Below are 13,432 nucleotides of genomic sequence, written 5' to 3' on the forward strand. Positions count from 1 at the left end.
AAATGCCGCCCTGTCTAAGGAAGCCACAATGTGCATTGAAGACTCTGAGAAATATAGAGTAAGGGAACATATCACTAATATTGTTATAGCATTTATGGCTTTCAGAGCACTTTCATAGCCATTTTTAGTTGTGTACTAGAAGAGACAAAGCAAAAATGCATATAAAGTAGATCATGGGATTGAAAAGGGGATAAGTGTAGCCATATAAACAAAGGGTGGCTGACAGTTGTGGAGGTTCAGCAAAGAGTCCTGCAGTTATTAGAATAAAACTGATGATTTTGGGCCTGGTCACAGTAATCAGATTGCTGAATCTTCATTTTATTTGAATTTATTTAAAGGATAACTCCAAAATCCTGCAAAGAGAAAGGAAAAAAAATTCTTAAGATATTTATAGTATTAGGGGCTTTTAAAATGGATTTCCATCCATTGATAAAGAAATAAATACCCAAAAGAAGCAAGACCAGAAAGTAACTATTACTAAGCTGTCTTGTATTATTTCTCTTGGTCAAAATTTATTAAAAGTTTGAAAGCTCATTGTCCCATTAAATGTTGGTGTTAAGACTTCAGTTCTTTATTCAGAATGATTGGAGGTTATATTTTACACTTAACATTTTCCAGCTGGGGAACTGAGGTCACGACAAGAATGGCCACTCAAGAATTCTGTTGGTCCAGCAGTTAAGGTCATATATGGGCTTCTTTTGTGGCTCAGGCAGTAGACTGCCATTGTTTTCATATTTCAATTTGATTTTCTTGTTCATAATTCAAGTTGGGAGTGAACTAAGTGGTATATTTTCTCCATAAGCCCATTGAGAGGCTGAGAATCTGCTTTTCTGCCTCTAGATTCTAAGTTAAGAAGAACAAGGGCAGGGTGCATGTCATTCCTCTTCACCATTATATCACCAGTGGATAGCATGGGACCTGGAACACCATATATGTTTAGGATATAATTATTGAATAAATAAGTGTTCTGTAGAGAAAGGAAAGTGGATCAAGGTGGAAATCATGTACCTATTTGTAGTCTACTCAAAGTATACAAGCAATGTTTGTTGTTGATGATGTGTTTTTCTCATGATAATTGGGTTGTATTTGCAAGACCTCACTTATGGAAGCAAATTAATTGCTATTTAGGTTCTCTGACTGCTATTTGGGTAGGTGGCACAGTTGGATGATAGAAATTATAGTTTTTCTAACCAGAATCTCTTAGTGACAACGTATATTAGATCAGTGGGTTTCTAGTGAATTGGAGTAGAGGTAAAGTAATATCCTATATTTGGATTTTCGAAACAACACCTATTAATTATCCTCCTGCACCATCACCATTATAAAGATGTGGAAACTCAGTGTCAGTAACTTACCATGAGCACCTTACTGGTTAATGGTACCACCGTAACTCTGAGGTAAATCTACTGTTTTACAGTTTGGTGTTCTTGGCCACCCCTCCTGCTACCACTAATCAACAACATGGGGATTTGTCTTGGAGCTGCTACTTGGTTTCAGTACTGAAAAATATTTCAGGGACTCTGTAAAATTCTTGATGGGTCATCAGCCATTGACTAACTCACCTGAATTCCAACTGTGTCTGGTAAAGTTCTACCAAGGATGAATGTATTAACTTCTTTACAAGCTCAAAAAGTATTAGAGGAGGAATATGATATTACCAAGTGTTTACTGCCCACTTCTCATGTAGCATAGGGGATATGTGAAAGCATACAGAAACATTCTGTACTTTTCAGGAGTTTGCAGCTCTGTACAGGAGGTCACATGGAAGTGCCTGGTATCTTCAGAGAATAACGCACTATGATACAGACATGTTGCAAGTATGGCAAGCATTTAAGTGGTGCTGGAGGTCGGAGGAGGGAGGGATCAAGAAGTAAACTTCTTGTGATGACAAGATAGTGGCTTTTGGGAGCAGACTTCAGTATTCTCTTTTTGCTCTAACTCTCCCTTTCTGATTCATTTTTTTTTTCTACCAGTTTGGTGGTTAATTAGATAAGCAGTGCCCCTACATCTACCACTAACTCACTTTGTTGATTTCCTATTCCACAGTGACTCCTCAGGGAGGAAGATAGGTGGTGGAGTTCATAATAATGGTAAATATGTAGATGCCTACACCTTGGGGATACAGATTTTGGTACATGATATTATGGAAATAGGTGAACTTAGTTGGAGAACAGTTTTCAAAAGAACAAGCTATGTTTTGATACGTGTGGAGGGATTTATGCTGTCCTTGATATCAAAATTTTATGTTTCCATAAATATGTGCCTATTTGTAAGTAGTATTTCATGAGGGAATTAGGTGGATGGAAGCGTTGATAGTACAAAAGATTTTCCCAGTAGTAACAGTTAATGCATGCTTTCCCTTATAGCTTAAAACAGGTGAAGGGACTTGAAGTGAGATGCTTTTACTTGCATTAGAGTAGTTTCTCTGTAACCATGTTCCCCTTCCTCTTTATTCAGGTTTTCAGCATATACAATATGTGTATTAATTATTAGGCTTTGCTGTGGGGCCATTTTTTATGAACCTCCAAATGTTGCTGAGTGTGGAATAGCTCTGGGGCTTGATAAAAACATGGCCTTTATTTTCCCACCAGTCTTTCCAAATAAACCTACCTCATAGGAAAGTATAAAGTGGTTTACAGAAGAAGATTTGGAAGCCAAGTTCCCATCTTTGGAGTCAAATGGTTCAGCATTCTGGCCTGGAGAATGGTGGGTAGAGGGGAAAATATGCTCCTTTGTGCCTTTATGCCTTCTCAGACTGGCTAACATCAGAGCTGCATAGCACATATTCTGAGCTGATGGAATTGGGTAAAAGCAGGTTTAATTTGATCTCAGCACTAGATTTAGGAGCAAGTCAACTCTGAGGAAAGATTCAGTTTCAGCAGAGTGGAGCTGAGAAGAAACCATTTGTTTTCATGAAGGAAAAATAATCTTTGAAGCAAGACTTCTATCCCTCTCTCCCTTCCTTTTTTTTTTTTAACTTCAGCTTCATTTTCTTGATCTGCAAATCTCAATTCCTCAAAATCTCAAGCTATTTTTATGTGTCTTTTTTTCCTTTCATAATGTATAAACATTAGCAATAAAAAGTGATGGATCAAGTTGTTAGAAAAGGGGGCAACTGTAGCTTTTTAGGACCCCACCTTGAGGAAATATTCTGTTATTTGAATCCCTCCTGGAGTGTAAATTCCCTCCTTAGGTGATGAGGTATGTATAAGTTTGCCGTAAAATTATTTTTGTTACACTGGGGACTCAGATACACTTCTACTCCTACTGCTGGGACTTGGTCTGCATGAATAATTTGTGTGAACAAGTTGCTCCTGTCTGTAAGGAAACTGTTAAATCCTTGACTTTCCAGACACAAGGATGTCATCTTCAGGATCCTCACTGACTTATATGGACAAATAGTATTGAAACAGATGACAATCTGAAGTTCCTACAGTAGGTTCAAAATCCAGGCAGATATCCCCAACAAAAGACTAATGAAAAAGTCTACTCCGTATGAGAACCATGCCAGGGAAGGTCTTTGAATTCCTACTTCTCTCTGTTATGCTAAGCTCAGCTATAGATCTCACTTCCATGAGAACAAGGCTAGTCCTTGTGGCATTTGCAAGGAATTAGGCTGGGAATTTGTGGACTATGGTTCTAATTTCATCCCTGACATTAACTGACTAACCTTGAGAAACTTGTTTCACTTTTTTGTTTTATTTTCTCTGTCTATAAAATGAGGGTGTAACTACATCTGCCCTAGCTGTTTCACAGAGATATTGTAAGAATGCAACATAAAAATGGGGTGTTTTAAAACCTGTTGAAAGATGTAAACAAAAGAGACATACAAACTAAAGGTATTGTCAGGTATCATTATTGTTAAATATTTTTGGAGCTCTTCAGGAGCAAGTTCTTTGGCATTGTCTCCCTAAGGAGACAATGGATATGAGACGCTATGAGGAAAAAGTAGGTAATAATACAAAACAGGAGGGTTGGCGGTGGTAGAGAGACTCTGGACCTTTCTGGAAGGGCTCAAGTGGCTGAAGGGAAAACAAACATTCATGGGCTGGCCCAAAGGGTAAAGAAAGTTCCTGCACCCCTAATCTATGCATTGTGCGGTGATGGGGAAAATGGTACTCCCATTCTTTCAGTAAAAATGGTTGATATCTGAACCCAGCTTTGGTGACTCCTTTGCCAGTCCTAAGCTAGCACTGCTATGCAAAAAGAGACAACAAGGGGAAGAAGTCCTCACAAAGAAATTCCTGGGTTAGGGTAAAGCCAGGAATGCAAAAGCCTAAGGGAAAAGAGTGTTTTTTGGTTCTTTTTTTGTTTGTTTGTTTGTTTGTTTTGAGATGGAGTTTCGCTCTTGTTGCCCAGGCTAGAGTGCAATGGCATGATCTCAGCTCACTGCAACCTCCACCTCCCAGGTTCAAGTGATTCTCCTACCTCAGCCCCCTGAGTAGCTGAGAGTACAGGCACCTGCCACCACCCCCAGCTAAATTTTGTATTTTTTGTAAAGATGGGGTTTCACCATTTTGGTCAAGTTGGTCTTGAACTCCTGACCTCAGGTGATCCCGCCCGCCTCGGCCTCCCAAAGTGCTGGGATTAATAGGTGTGAGCCACCACGTCTGGCATTGTTCTTCCCATTTCTTCTCTCCCCTACAGATAACTTAAAATCCTTTATCTCTCCAAAAGACCAAGTACCATTTAGCAAATCCTGCTACCTAAGTTGTAATGATCTCTTCAGCCCCCCCCCCCCCCCCGCAAAGTAATGTTTGCTATGACAGAATTACAGTATGTCTGGAAGAGTTTGTACTTCTCTGTGATTTGGTACGAGGCAATTTAATCTACGTGACAAAGGGAGATATCTGATTTGTGGGAGCGCTGCCTCTTTTGATTTCCCTCTGTGCTACTGAAAGAATGGTTGGAATGATAAGAACAGTATTTTTAAAGTGTGTTCTGGGCAATACTAATCTCTAGGTGTTTTTTGTTTGTTTTCAGAAAAGGGCTTCTATGGTCAAATAAATTGGGAAATGATTCATGCTATGATTCCCTCTAGGAAATGTGTTGTGCATGTTAGGATACCAAAAGCTTTGAGCAGTTTAACAGTAAAGGAATCTGTTTAACTTTGTTTAATCTAGCATTTCATAAACTTATTTCCTTTTGGAAGCCCCCTTTTCATATAATACCAATCACTATTACCCTTTAAGGCCTTTAAGAGGTAGATTCATTCTCAAATACCTGCATAGTTCAGATTGCTATGCCAGACAACAAAGCCTCAAGTTAGAGAATTCAGTATTGCTGGTTAGCCTTCTCCAAAATTAAAATTGCTGTGCTAAGACAAAGATAGAATCAGGGCGGTGATGTTTTCTGTCCAAAAAACTATTAAAATGTTACAGTGATTCAACAACATCTTCATTATGAGATAGGCAAACAATGAAAGCGGTCCACACTTATTGCACGCTCAGTATGGGCCAGCCACTGTGCTAAGCGCTTTCTCTTGTTACTTCTAGGCATAAAAATGACCCAGCAAGATAGATTGAATGAGTCTTCATTTTAGAGCCCAGGGAACTGAGAGCTAGAGATTATGTAAATCACCCAAGGCCGCAGACCTAGTAAGAGGCAGATCTGGGATATGAATTTCGGTCTGTTCAACTCCAGAGTCGATGATTTAGATTTAAAATATTTAAAGTCAGACTCTGTTTTCTAAGTGGAAAATGGCATTTCAAGAAATCTCAAAATTCTGTATCTGAATAATGTATCAGCTAAGACTCTAAGGCATTCAGGAGGCTGTCTTTTGGTTAAGGGGGGCTCCACCTGCATCGCCAGAGTCAGTCTAAGTATAATTATAGGTATCAGCAACCTAGAGAACAGCTGGTTCAATTTAAAGTGCCCTAAGGATCACAAGCATGGTCCTGTTTACATTTACAAGCTGATAGGCCAGTTGCTGTGGCTCATGCCTGTAATCCCAGCACTTTGGGAGGCCGAGGCGGGCGGATCACAAGGTCAGGAGATGGAGACCATCCTGGCTAACACAGTGAAACCCTGTCTCTACTAAAAATAAAAAAAAAAAAAAAATTAGCCAGGCGTGGTGGCAGGTGCCTGTAGTCCCAGCTACTCGGGAGGCTGAGGCAGGAGAATGGTGTGAACCCGGGAGGCGGAGCTTGCAGTGAGCCGAGATCGTGCCACTGCACTCCAGCCTGGGTGACAGAGAGAGACTCCGTCTCAAAAAAAAATTTACAAGCTCATTTTTTTGCCCACTTACTAAGTTTCAAGCCCATTTCCATCTTCTTTCACTGCTGTTCCTTGAGGCCACCTCTTTAAGCCACTTGCTTGGGTGCTTATAAATACAATGTCCCTCAGATGGGTACCTTTAATTGTCCCTCCTAATATCACTAGGTCCCTATCCATTCCTTTTTCATTGCTCTGGAGGGGTGGCTTAAAGCCTTATTTTGTGGACATAATGAAAACATGTCCACATGCCTCTAGACTAAGCTGTCTACAACTGAAGAAATATGACATCCAACTAATTATAACTTAATTTTATCATACATTTATTATTATATATATGTTCTAAGTATTTTACATGGATCAACTTATTTAATCCTCATGGCAACTCTATGAAGGAGGTACTGTTGTTATCCTCATTTTACAGATGAGAGAACTGAGGTTCGGAGAAGTTAAGTTACTCGCCTAAGATTACACAGCTAGCAAGCTAAGTCTCAAACCCAGGTCTATATGACCTGGTTTGATGAATAATTAATGGTATTATGTGCTATTACTTATTTTATTATACTAGTCTTGCTGCGCCTGGATTAGCCTTCCTCCAACCAGAATCTTGCCTTTATTGTTAGTATGCTCATTGCCTCCTCCCGGCTCTGCCACTTTGGTAAATAGCTGTCTAGTTTGATGGTTCTCCAATGAGCATCAATGTGTATCAGAATTACCTGGAGGCCTTGTGAAAACCTGGATTGCTGGGACCCATCCCTAGAACTTCTGACTTAGGAGGTTATGGAGCTTGGCAGGGGGAGGAGCAGTGAATTTGTATTCCTGACAAATTCCCAGGTGATGGTCCAGAGACCACATTTCGAGAACCATTGATCTCCTGTTACCACTCAATTAACCAACTCTTCTTAGAAACTGGTTTTCTCTTGAGCAACTCACTGTTTATTAAAACAGAACTAAATGTTTCCATTTTGACTTATTTAAAACATCACCTAAACATGTATATCTCCAAGTGATTTTTAAATTATTTTTAATTGACAATAATTGTGTATATTTATGGGGTACAATGTGATGTTTTGATCTATCTATACACTGAAGAAAGATTCAGTCAAGCTAATTAACATATCCATCACCTCACCAACTTATCATTTTTTCAGGGCAAGGATGTTAAAAATCTATTCTTTCAGCTATTTGGAAATATATATTATTATTAACTGTGGTCACCATGAAGTGCAATAGATCACTTAACTTATCCAAGTGATTTTTTAAGAGCAGTTTCACTGTACTGTGTCTTGATCGTATTCTTGAACCTAAGTAGTTTGGCATGCAAATGTGATTTCAGGGATTTACCTCCAATTAATTCCCCCAATGGCTTATAGCCACCCCCACCACCATTCACATCATACCTGAAAGACTTTATGTGCTATTTAACTTGATTAAGGAAATGGTAAATTGAAGCTTATTTACTACAAGAATACTTAGTGACAGGCAATATGGCTTGGGGATTAAGTACAGGGACATTGTAATTAGACTTGGGTTTGAATCTCAACTTTGCCTAATAACTAGCTGTGTAACTGTGCTCAAGTGAAGTAACTTCTCTGAGCTCTATTTCTTGTACAGTGGGAGATGATAATGAAATCACCCTCATGAGGCTATAAATAAGATTATATATGTATAGCATACCCTATCATGCCAGGTATTTAAAAAAAAAACTAAAGAAATAGCTGGTTTATGTTAGTGATTGCAAACCTCTAATCTTCAGGCCTGTGATATTCCAAAAATTGTTGCAAGAGATCAGTGACACTGTGTGCATACCAAAATAAAATCTCAAAGATAGAATTAATAAGAAGTAGCATGTATAGATGTACAATTCATTTCCAATCTAATCTATGTAGATGCTGATTTAATTAGTAAAATACAAATTCACTTAGAGGTATGACTAATGATATGATAACTTTCTGTCATTATGTAGTACATTTTCATCAACAGATATTAAAAGACCAACTTTTTTGATATTTAAGAAAAATCTTCACACTTTAAAAAGTTGTGAAGCACTGGTTTATCTGAATAGTCTGTTAATGCACTATCCCCCAGCAGAGAGCAGGCCTCTGAAAGAGGGGAGGCCAGGTCAGCTTTGATGAGCAAAGGAGACAGAGGACATTCTAGAGCATGGGGTGTTGCTTAAGGAGAGCATGATGTGGAGGGCTGGCTGCTGTAGTGGGGGCAATCTGAGAAACCCAGGGCCAGTGGGAGGATATTAGTCAGGGAAGAGCAGGGGCAATAATGCCAAGATGTCCAGGGAATCTACCAACCAGCTAATCTGTTCCTAGGTGACTAAGGATTTCAAGTGAACAACCAGCCACACCAATAGTGTATCTAGCTTTAGAGAAGGACTATGCGAATTCATTAGGATAGCAGAGTGTGTCTTCCTGAAGGACTTGGGTGCCTAAAGTGGAAAAATGCATTGTTGCTTTATTCTAATTGCATTATTCAGTCAAATCCCTTCAAAATGATCAGCAAACAGCCCCTGAAATAGGAAAGTATTGGTGGCAGGAGTGAAATTTAGAGTTGTTTTGATAGAATAATTTTCTTCAGGGGTTTGGGCTCTGATTGCTACTTAGACTGAGTAAAAGTATTGCTGAATAAGGTGCTGAGTAAATGCAAGTTGTCATTAAGAGGACCGTGGCTAGTCTCTTAAATTATATCCACTATTCAGATAAATGTTGCATGCCTTCCTAATAGTCTGCTTCCTTATCGACTTGAGCATTTAGTTGTTGTTGTTTTTTTTTTGTTTGTTTTGCTTTTTTATTTGTATTTATGTAAGAGAAAAAGGGCAAGTGGTACTCATAACATCTTGCCAGAGCTTCATAGATGACATGAGTATTTGTAAATAGGGTTGGAGTTATATATATTTTCCTAGTCTAGAAGTGCAAGCTTAAGTTTGCATTCATTATTTGACACAGTTTGGTTATGGTAATAGTATATGGTTTGGTAGCAGTTTAGGCTTGATTTAGATGAGAAAGGAACAATTGTGTTTCATGTTTTTATTTCTAGGAATAGCTGAATTCAGTTTCATGTAATTGGTACTCAGAACACAGCTATCCAAGCCTTTCTTTATAGTTTCTCTTCCATGTTTCCATTTTTATTTCCACCCACTCCTATATAGGGCATTAAAAAATGTATCTCTATAACCATTTAAAAACATGTCTGTAAATTTTCCACCCAGTAGATTTTACAACAAATATTTTTTCTCAAAATAGCTTCGCCCTGCAACCCAAAACACTCCTGAATTATTTTGCACTCATATCTACCCTTCCTACCATCCCTTAATAAGGGCTCAGAGAATGCAGACTCATTAACATCAGCCTAAGGAAAACAGCATCACAAAAATCAGTCCAAGGCCAGGCGCGGTGGTTCACCCCTGTAATCCCAGCACTTTGGGAGGCTGAGGCAGGCGGATCACCTGAGGTCAGGAGTTCGAGACCAGCCTGGCCAACTTGGTGAAACCCTGTCTCTACTAAAAATACAAAATTTAGCCGGGCATGGTAGCACATGACTGTAATCTCAGCTACTCAGGAAGCTGAGGCAGGAGAATTGCTTGAACCTAGGAGGCAGAGGTTGCAGTGAGCTGAGATTGCGCCACTGCACTCCAGCCTGGGTGACAGAACAAGACTACATTTCAAAAAAAAAAAAAAACAAAACAAATAAAAAAAAAAGAAGAAAGAAAATCAGTCCACTTTCAAAGAAAAGTTAAAATATGCATTGTAAAACTGGATAGAACTGATTTGTACGCTTTTTTTGTAGTTAATACTTCTATGAAATAATATATTTAATAAATTTTATATGACTATCACCATTTCACATAATTGTTTTCATTGGTGTGACGGCCCGCACAATTTTAAATCATTTCAGCCGCTGTATGCACAGTTTTGTATTTTGCTTTTTCAACTAACACAGCAGTATTTTTCTATGTTTGTTCATAGTACAATTTTCTAATTTTTAATGTTTGATATTCCATCTTGTTTATTCAGCATAAGTTACTTAGCCATTCCCATTATCTGTTGTATTTTAATAATTTGTGAGGTTATTCATTTATTTTCTATTAAAGCAGCTAGGCAAAAGTTTGACTTTACAGTCACTGTCCTCTAGAATATCAATCCCTAAGTGTTTCTGCTTGACTGTTCTAACTCTCCCATTTCTACCTGGGTCAATCTGAATTCTGCCACGTAAAACATGGTTACCCAGTGAAAGATCTTTACACACAGTATATTAGGTTGCTAGGGGAAACTTACAGTAGCAAGCTTTCTGTTTGCTTATTTCACATACATTCTCTCATTAATTCTTCTCAATGTGTCTATAAGAAGGTATTGAATTATTTACAAACACTTGGGATAAAGAAGGAGGATAGGAAGAGTTGCCTGCTGTTGGGGAGGAAGAAAGGAAAGAATAATCGAGGTGATGGATTCATTAAGTTCATAACAAGCTGTCCTTGCAGGAGGTAAGTCTGTTAGGATATCTTCTTTTCCTTTCCTACCCTAACTCTAAAATTTCGTCTGGACCAACTCTTCTGCCTGAACTATAAACCTCCACCCTGTGAACAATGTATTAATTTTCAAATATTTCTTGTGTAGGTGAATACAACCACCTTCATATCCACACATGTCTGTGCTCAGTTTGGCAATGAATCACCTTCTAAACATCCAGAACAATCAGTCAGATAAGGATCACCTTTGATTAAGATCTTCTCTGCCAGGCTCTATTGGAATAGGTGCCAGCTTCTCACTACTTAGAGCTTACGATTGTGCACAATGACAGCTAAGATTTGTCTGGGCAGGAACATATTTTTCCCACTCTTAAAGTCAACATTTGAGGTGTTTCTAAGTGGAAGAAATTCCCTTTGCTCATTCTGACTTTTCATTCAGTTCAAGCTCTCCATCTTTTGTAAGAAATGTTGTTCTCCATCGTGCTGAAGCATTAGGTTGCTGTTTCCCCAGGCCAATCAGTCTGAAGATAACTTTATGATGCTGCTAGAGCATGACACCATAGTTTATCCATTCTTCCTGATTTCATCAGGGTGCCTGACGCTTGTTAGACAACTTTGGGGATGCAGACTGTTTGGTCCAGCCTTGTTGCAATCAGCAGTTTTTAGCAAGGATTACCTAGACTTATCTTTGAGATCCTTGATAATTTAATCAGTAAAAACACGACATGGCCTTTTGTAGGCTGCAGTGAGTGCAGATAGAGTGCCACAAAGGCCTCTGGCACGCTGCAAGAGTAAAAGGTGGCAGGGCACTACCTGCCCACTCCCAAATGCTACATGCTTCCCCTCTACCACATGCAAATCTTTGCACTTAATCATGTCATTGCCAAGTCCCGCTTCTGGTACTTTGTATCTCAGCTAAAGAAGATGAAGAAGTCTTTGGGGGAAATTGTCTTGTGTGGGTAGGTATTTGAGCAATTCTGCCTGCAGGTGAAGAACTTCAGCTTGTGGCTGCACCACAACTCATGCAGTGGCACCCACAACATGTACCAGGAATACCTGGACTCAGCCACTGGGGGTGCTGTCACCCAGTACTACAGAGAAATGGGTGCCCAGCAATGTGGTTGGGCCCACTGGATCCAGATTGTGAAGGTAGAAGGGATCTTGGCCAGCAGGTGCCAGCAATCAAACAGTTCCACAACTCCAAGATCAAGTTTGTGCTGTCCCACCGCATCCTGCATTGTCAACACAAGCCACACTTCACCACCAAGATGCCCAGCCCAACACCTTCTTTTAGGTGCAGGGCCCTCTCACTCCTGGTCTGCCCAAATAAGCCCAAAAACTCCCAGGCGCTAAAGAAAATGCCCAGGACATGGTGTTGAAATATGCAAAGAGTTGATACCATGTGGGACATCTGATAACGTTAGTATACCACAATAGTCTTTATTGTTGTGGACACAGAGAAGGAACTCAAAGACTCTTTTTGATGATCCTGACATAATCAGGAGGAGACAGTGAACAAACTTTATTTCACAGGAGGCTCTGATGATGAGTGGTAAATTTAGGATATGTTCAAGATTATTCTGCTTTCCTCCCTTTACAATAAGTCAAGTATTCATTAAGCAACCACTCTATTTAAGACCTTGTGCAAAGCACTGTGGGAGACATGATGATCTATTAAATTGGGTTTTCTTCTTTCAAACTTAAATTCTAGTTGGAGTGACAAGATCTGAAAAATTAGGTAACACAGGAGATAAATAGTTCAAGGCAATAATAGAAGAGGTGTCATGAGACAAAACATTATTATTTGACAAATGAATGGCACAGACAAGTGTTCTAGAGGTTGCAAGAAGATAGAGCTGAGAGGCATGCTAATATAGTGCCTTTTTCTCCTGCTGTTTTCTCTGCCTAAAACGTCCAGTGTATACATCCCTCTCCACCTGTAAAATTCCTATTTCTCTTTTGAGATACAGTCATTGCCTATTCAGTGCAATCGTCATCAGCCCACCCAGAGTTAATCACATTACCTCTCATAAGCCCATAGAATCTTAGACTCACTGAGAGTATAAAAGCACATGTTAATGCCTAGTGTTCCATTATTGGAACGCTAAGCATGTGGGAATTATTTATATCCTACTGCTCAAGGTCATCACCACGGTCTGATTGAAAAATTAAATTGCAACCTCAGGTATAAATGGGTTTATTATTCACTGTAATTATTCACTTACACATTGGATTCCTCTACCAGACTGAGACCTTCAAGGGTAGGGGCAATTTGATAGTAATTTATCTTTCTGTCCCAAGAACCTACCTTAGAATTGGACACATAGTGTTCAGTACATTTATTGAAATGAAATGAGTGTAGTGGAAAGAGTACTGGACTTGGAATCAGAATTAAAACTGTCCTGGGCTTGGTAAATGTTTGTTTTTCTGAAATGTGTGTCATGTCACCTCTCTGCACTGAATAAAATGATCTCTAAAGTTCTTATAGCACTGAAAACTGTGCAATCCTAGCCTGGGAGTAGTTATCAAAGGTTTTCCATAATTGCTGTTGATAATAAATAATAATCACAACAGTTAACATTTACTGCATACTTACTATGTGCTAGGCATAGAACATGAATTATGTCCTTCAACCCTCAAAATAACCCTATGTGGTAGGTACTATTACACTCATTTTCCAGATGAAGCCAAGACTCCAAGAGGTTAATTTACTAGAAGTCACACAGCTAGAAACTGTTGAAA

The 13,432-nt window shown here is 39.1% G+C and overlaps 1 protein-coding gene and 1 pseudogene across 1 annotated transcript in view; both read left to right on the forward strand.

Annotated features, from left to right (window-relative positions):
* IL1RAPL2 (interleukin 1 receptor accessory protein like 2) overlaps positions 1–13,432 on the forward strand; it is a 1,201,631-nt gene that overhangs the window by 226,258 nt on the left and 961,941 nt on the right. The gene's annotated exons all lie outside the window — the stretch shown is intronic.
* On the forward strand, positions 11,413–12,041 carry RPL18AP14 (ribosomal protein L18a pseudogene 14; annotated as a pseudogene).

Source organism: Homo sapiens, chromosome X, assembly GCF_000001405.40.
Source record: "Homo sapiens chromosome X, GRCh38.p14 Primary Assembly".
NCBI lineage: Eukaryota > Metazoa > Chordata > Mammalia > Primates > Hominidae > Homo > Homo sapiens.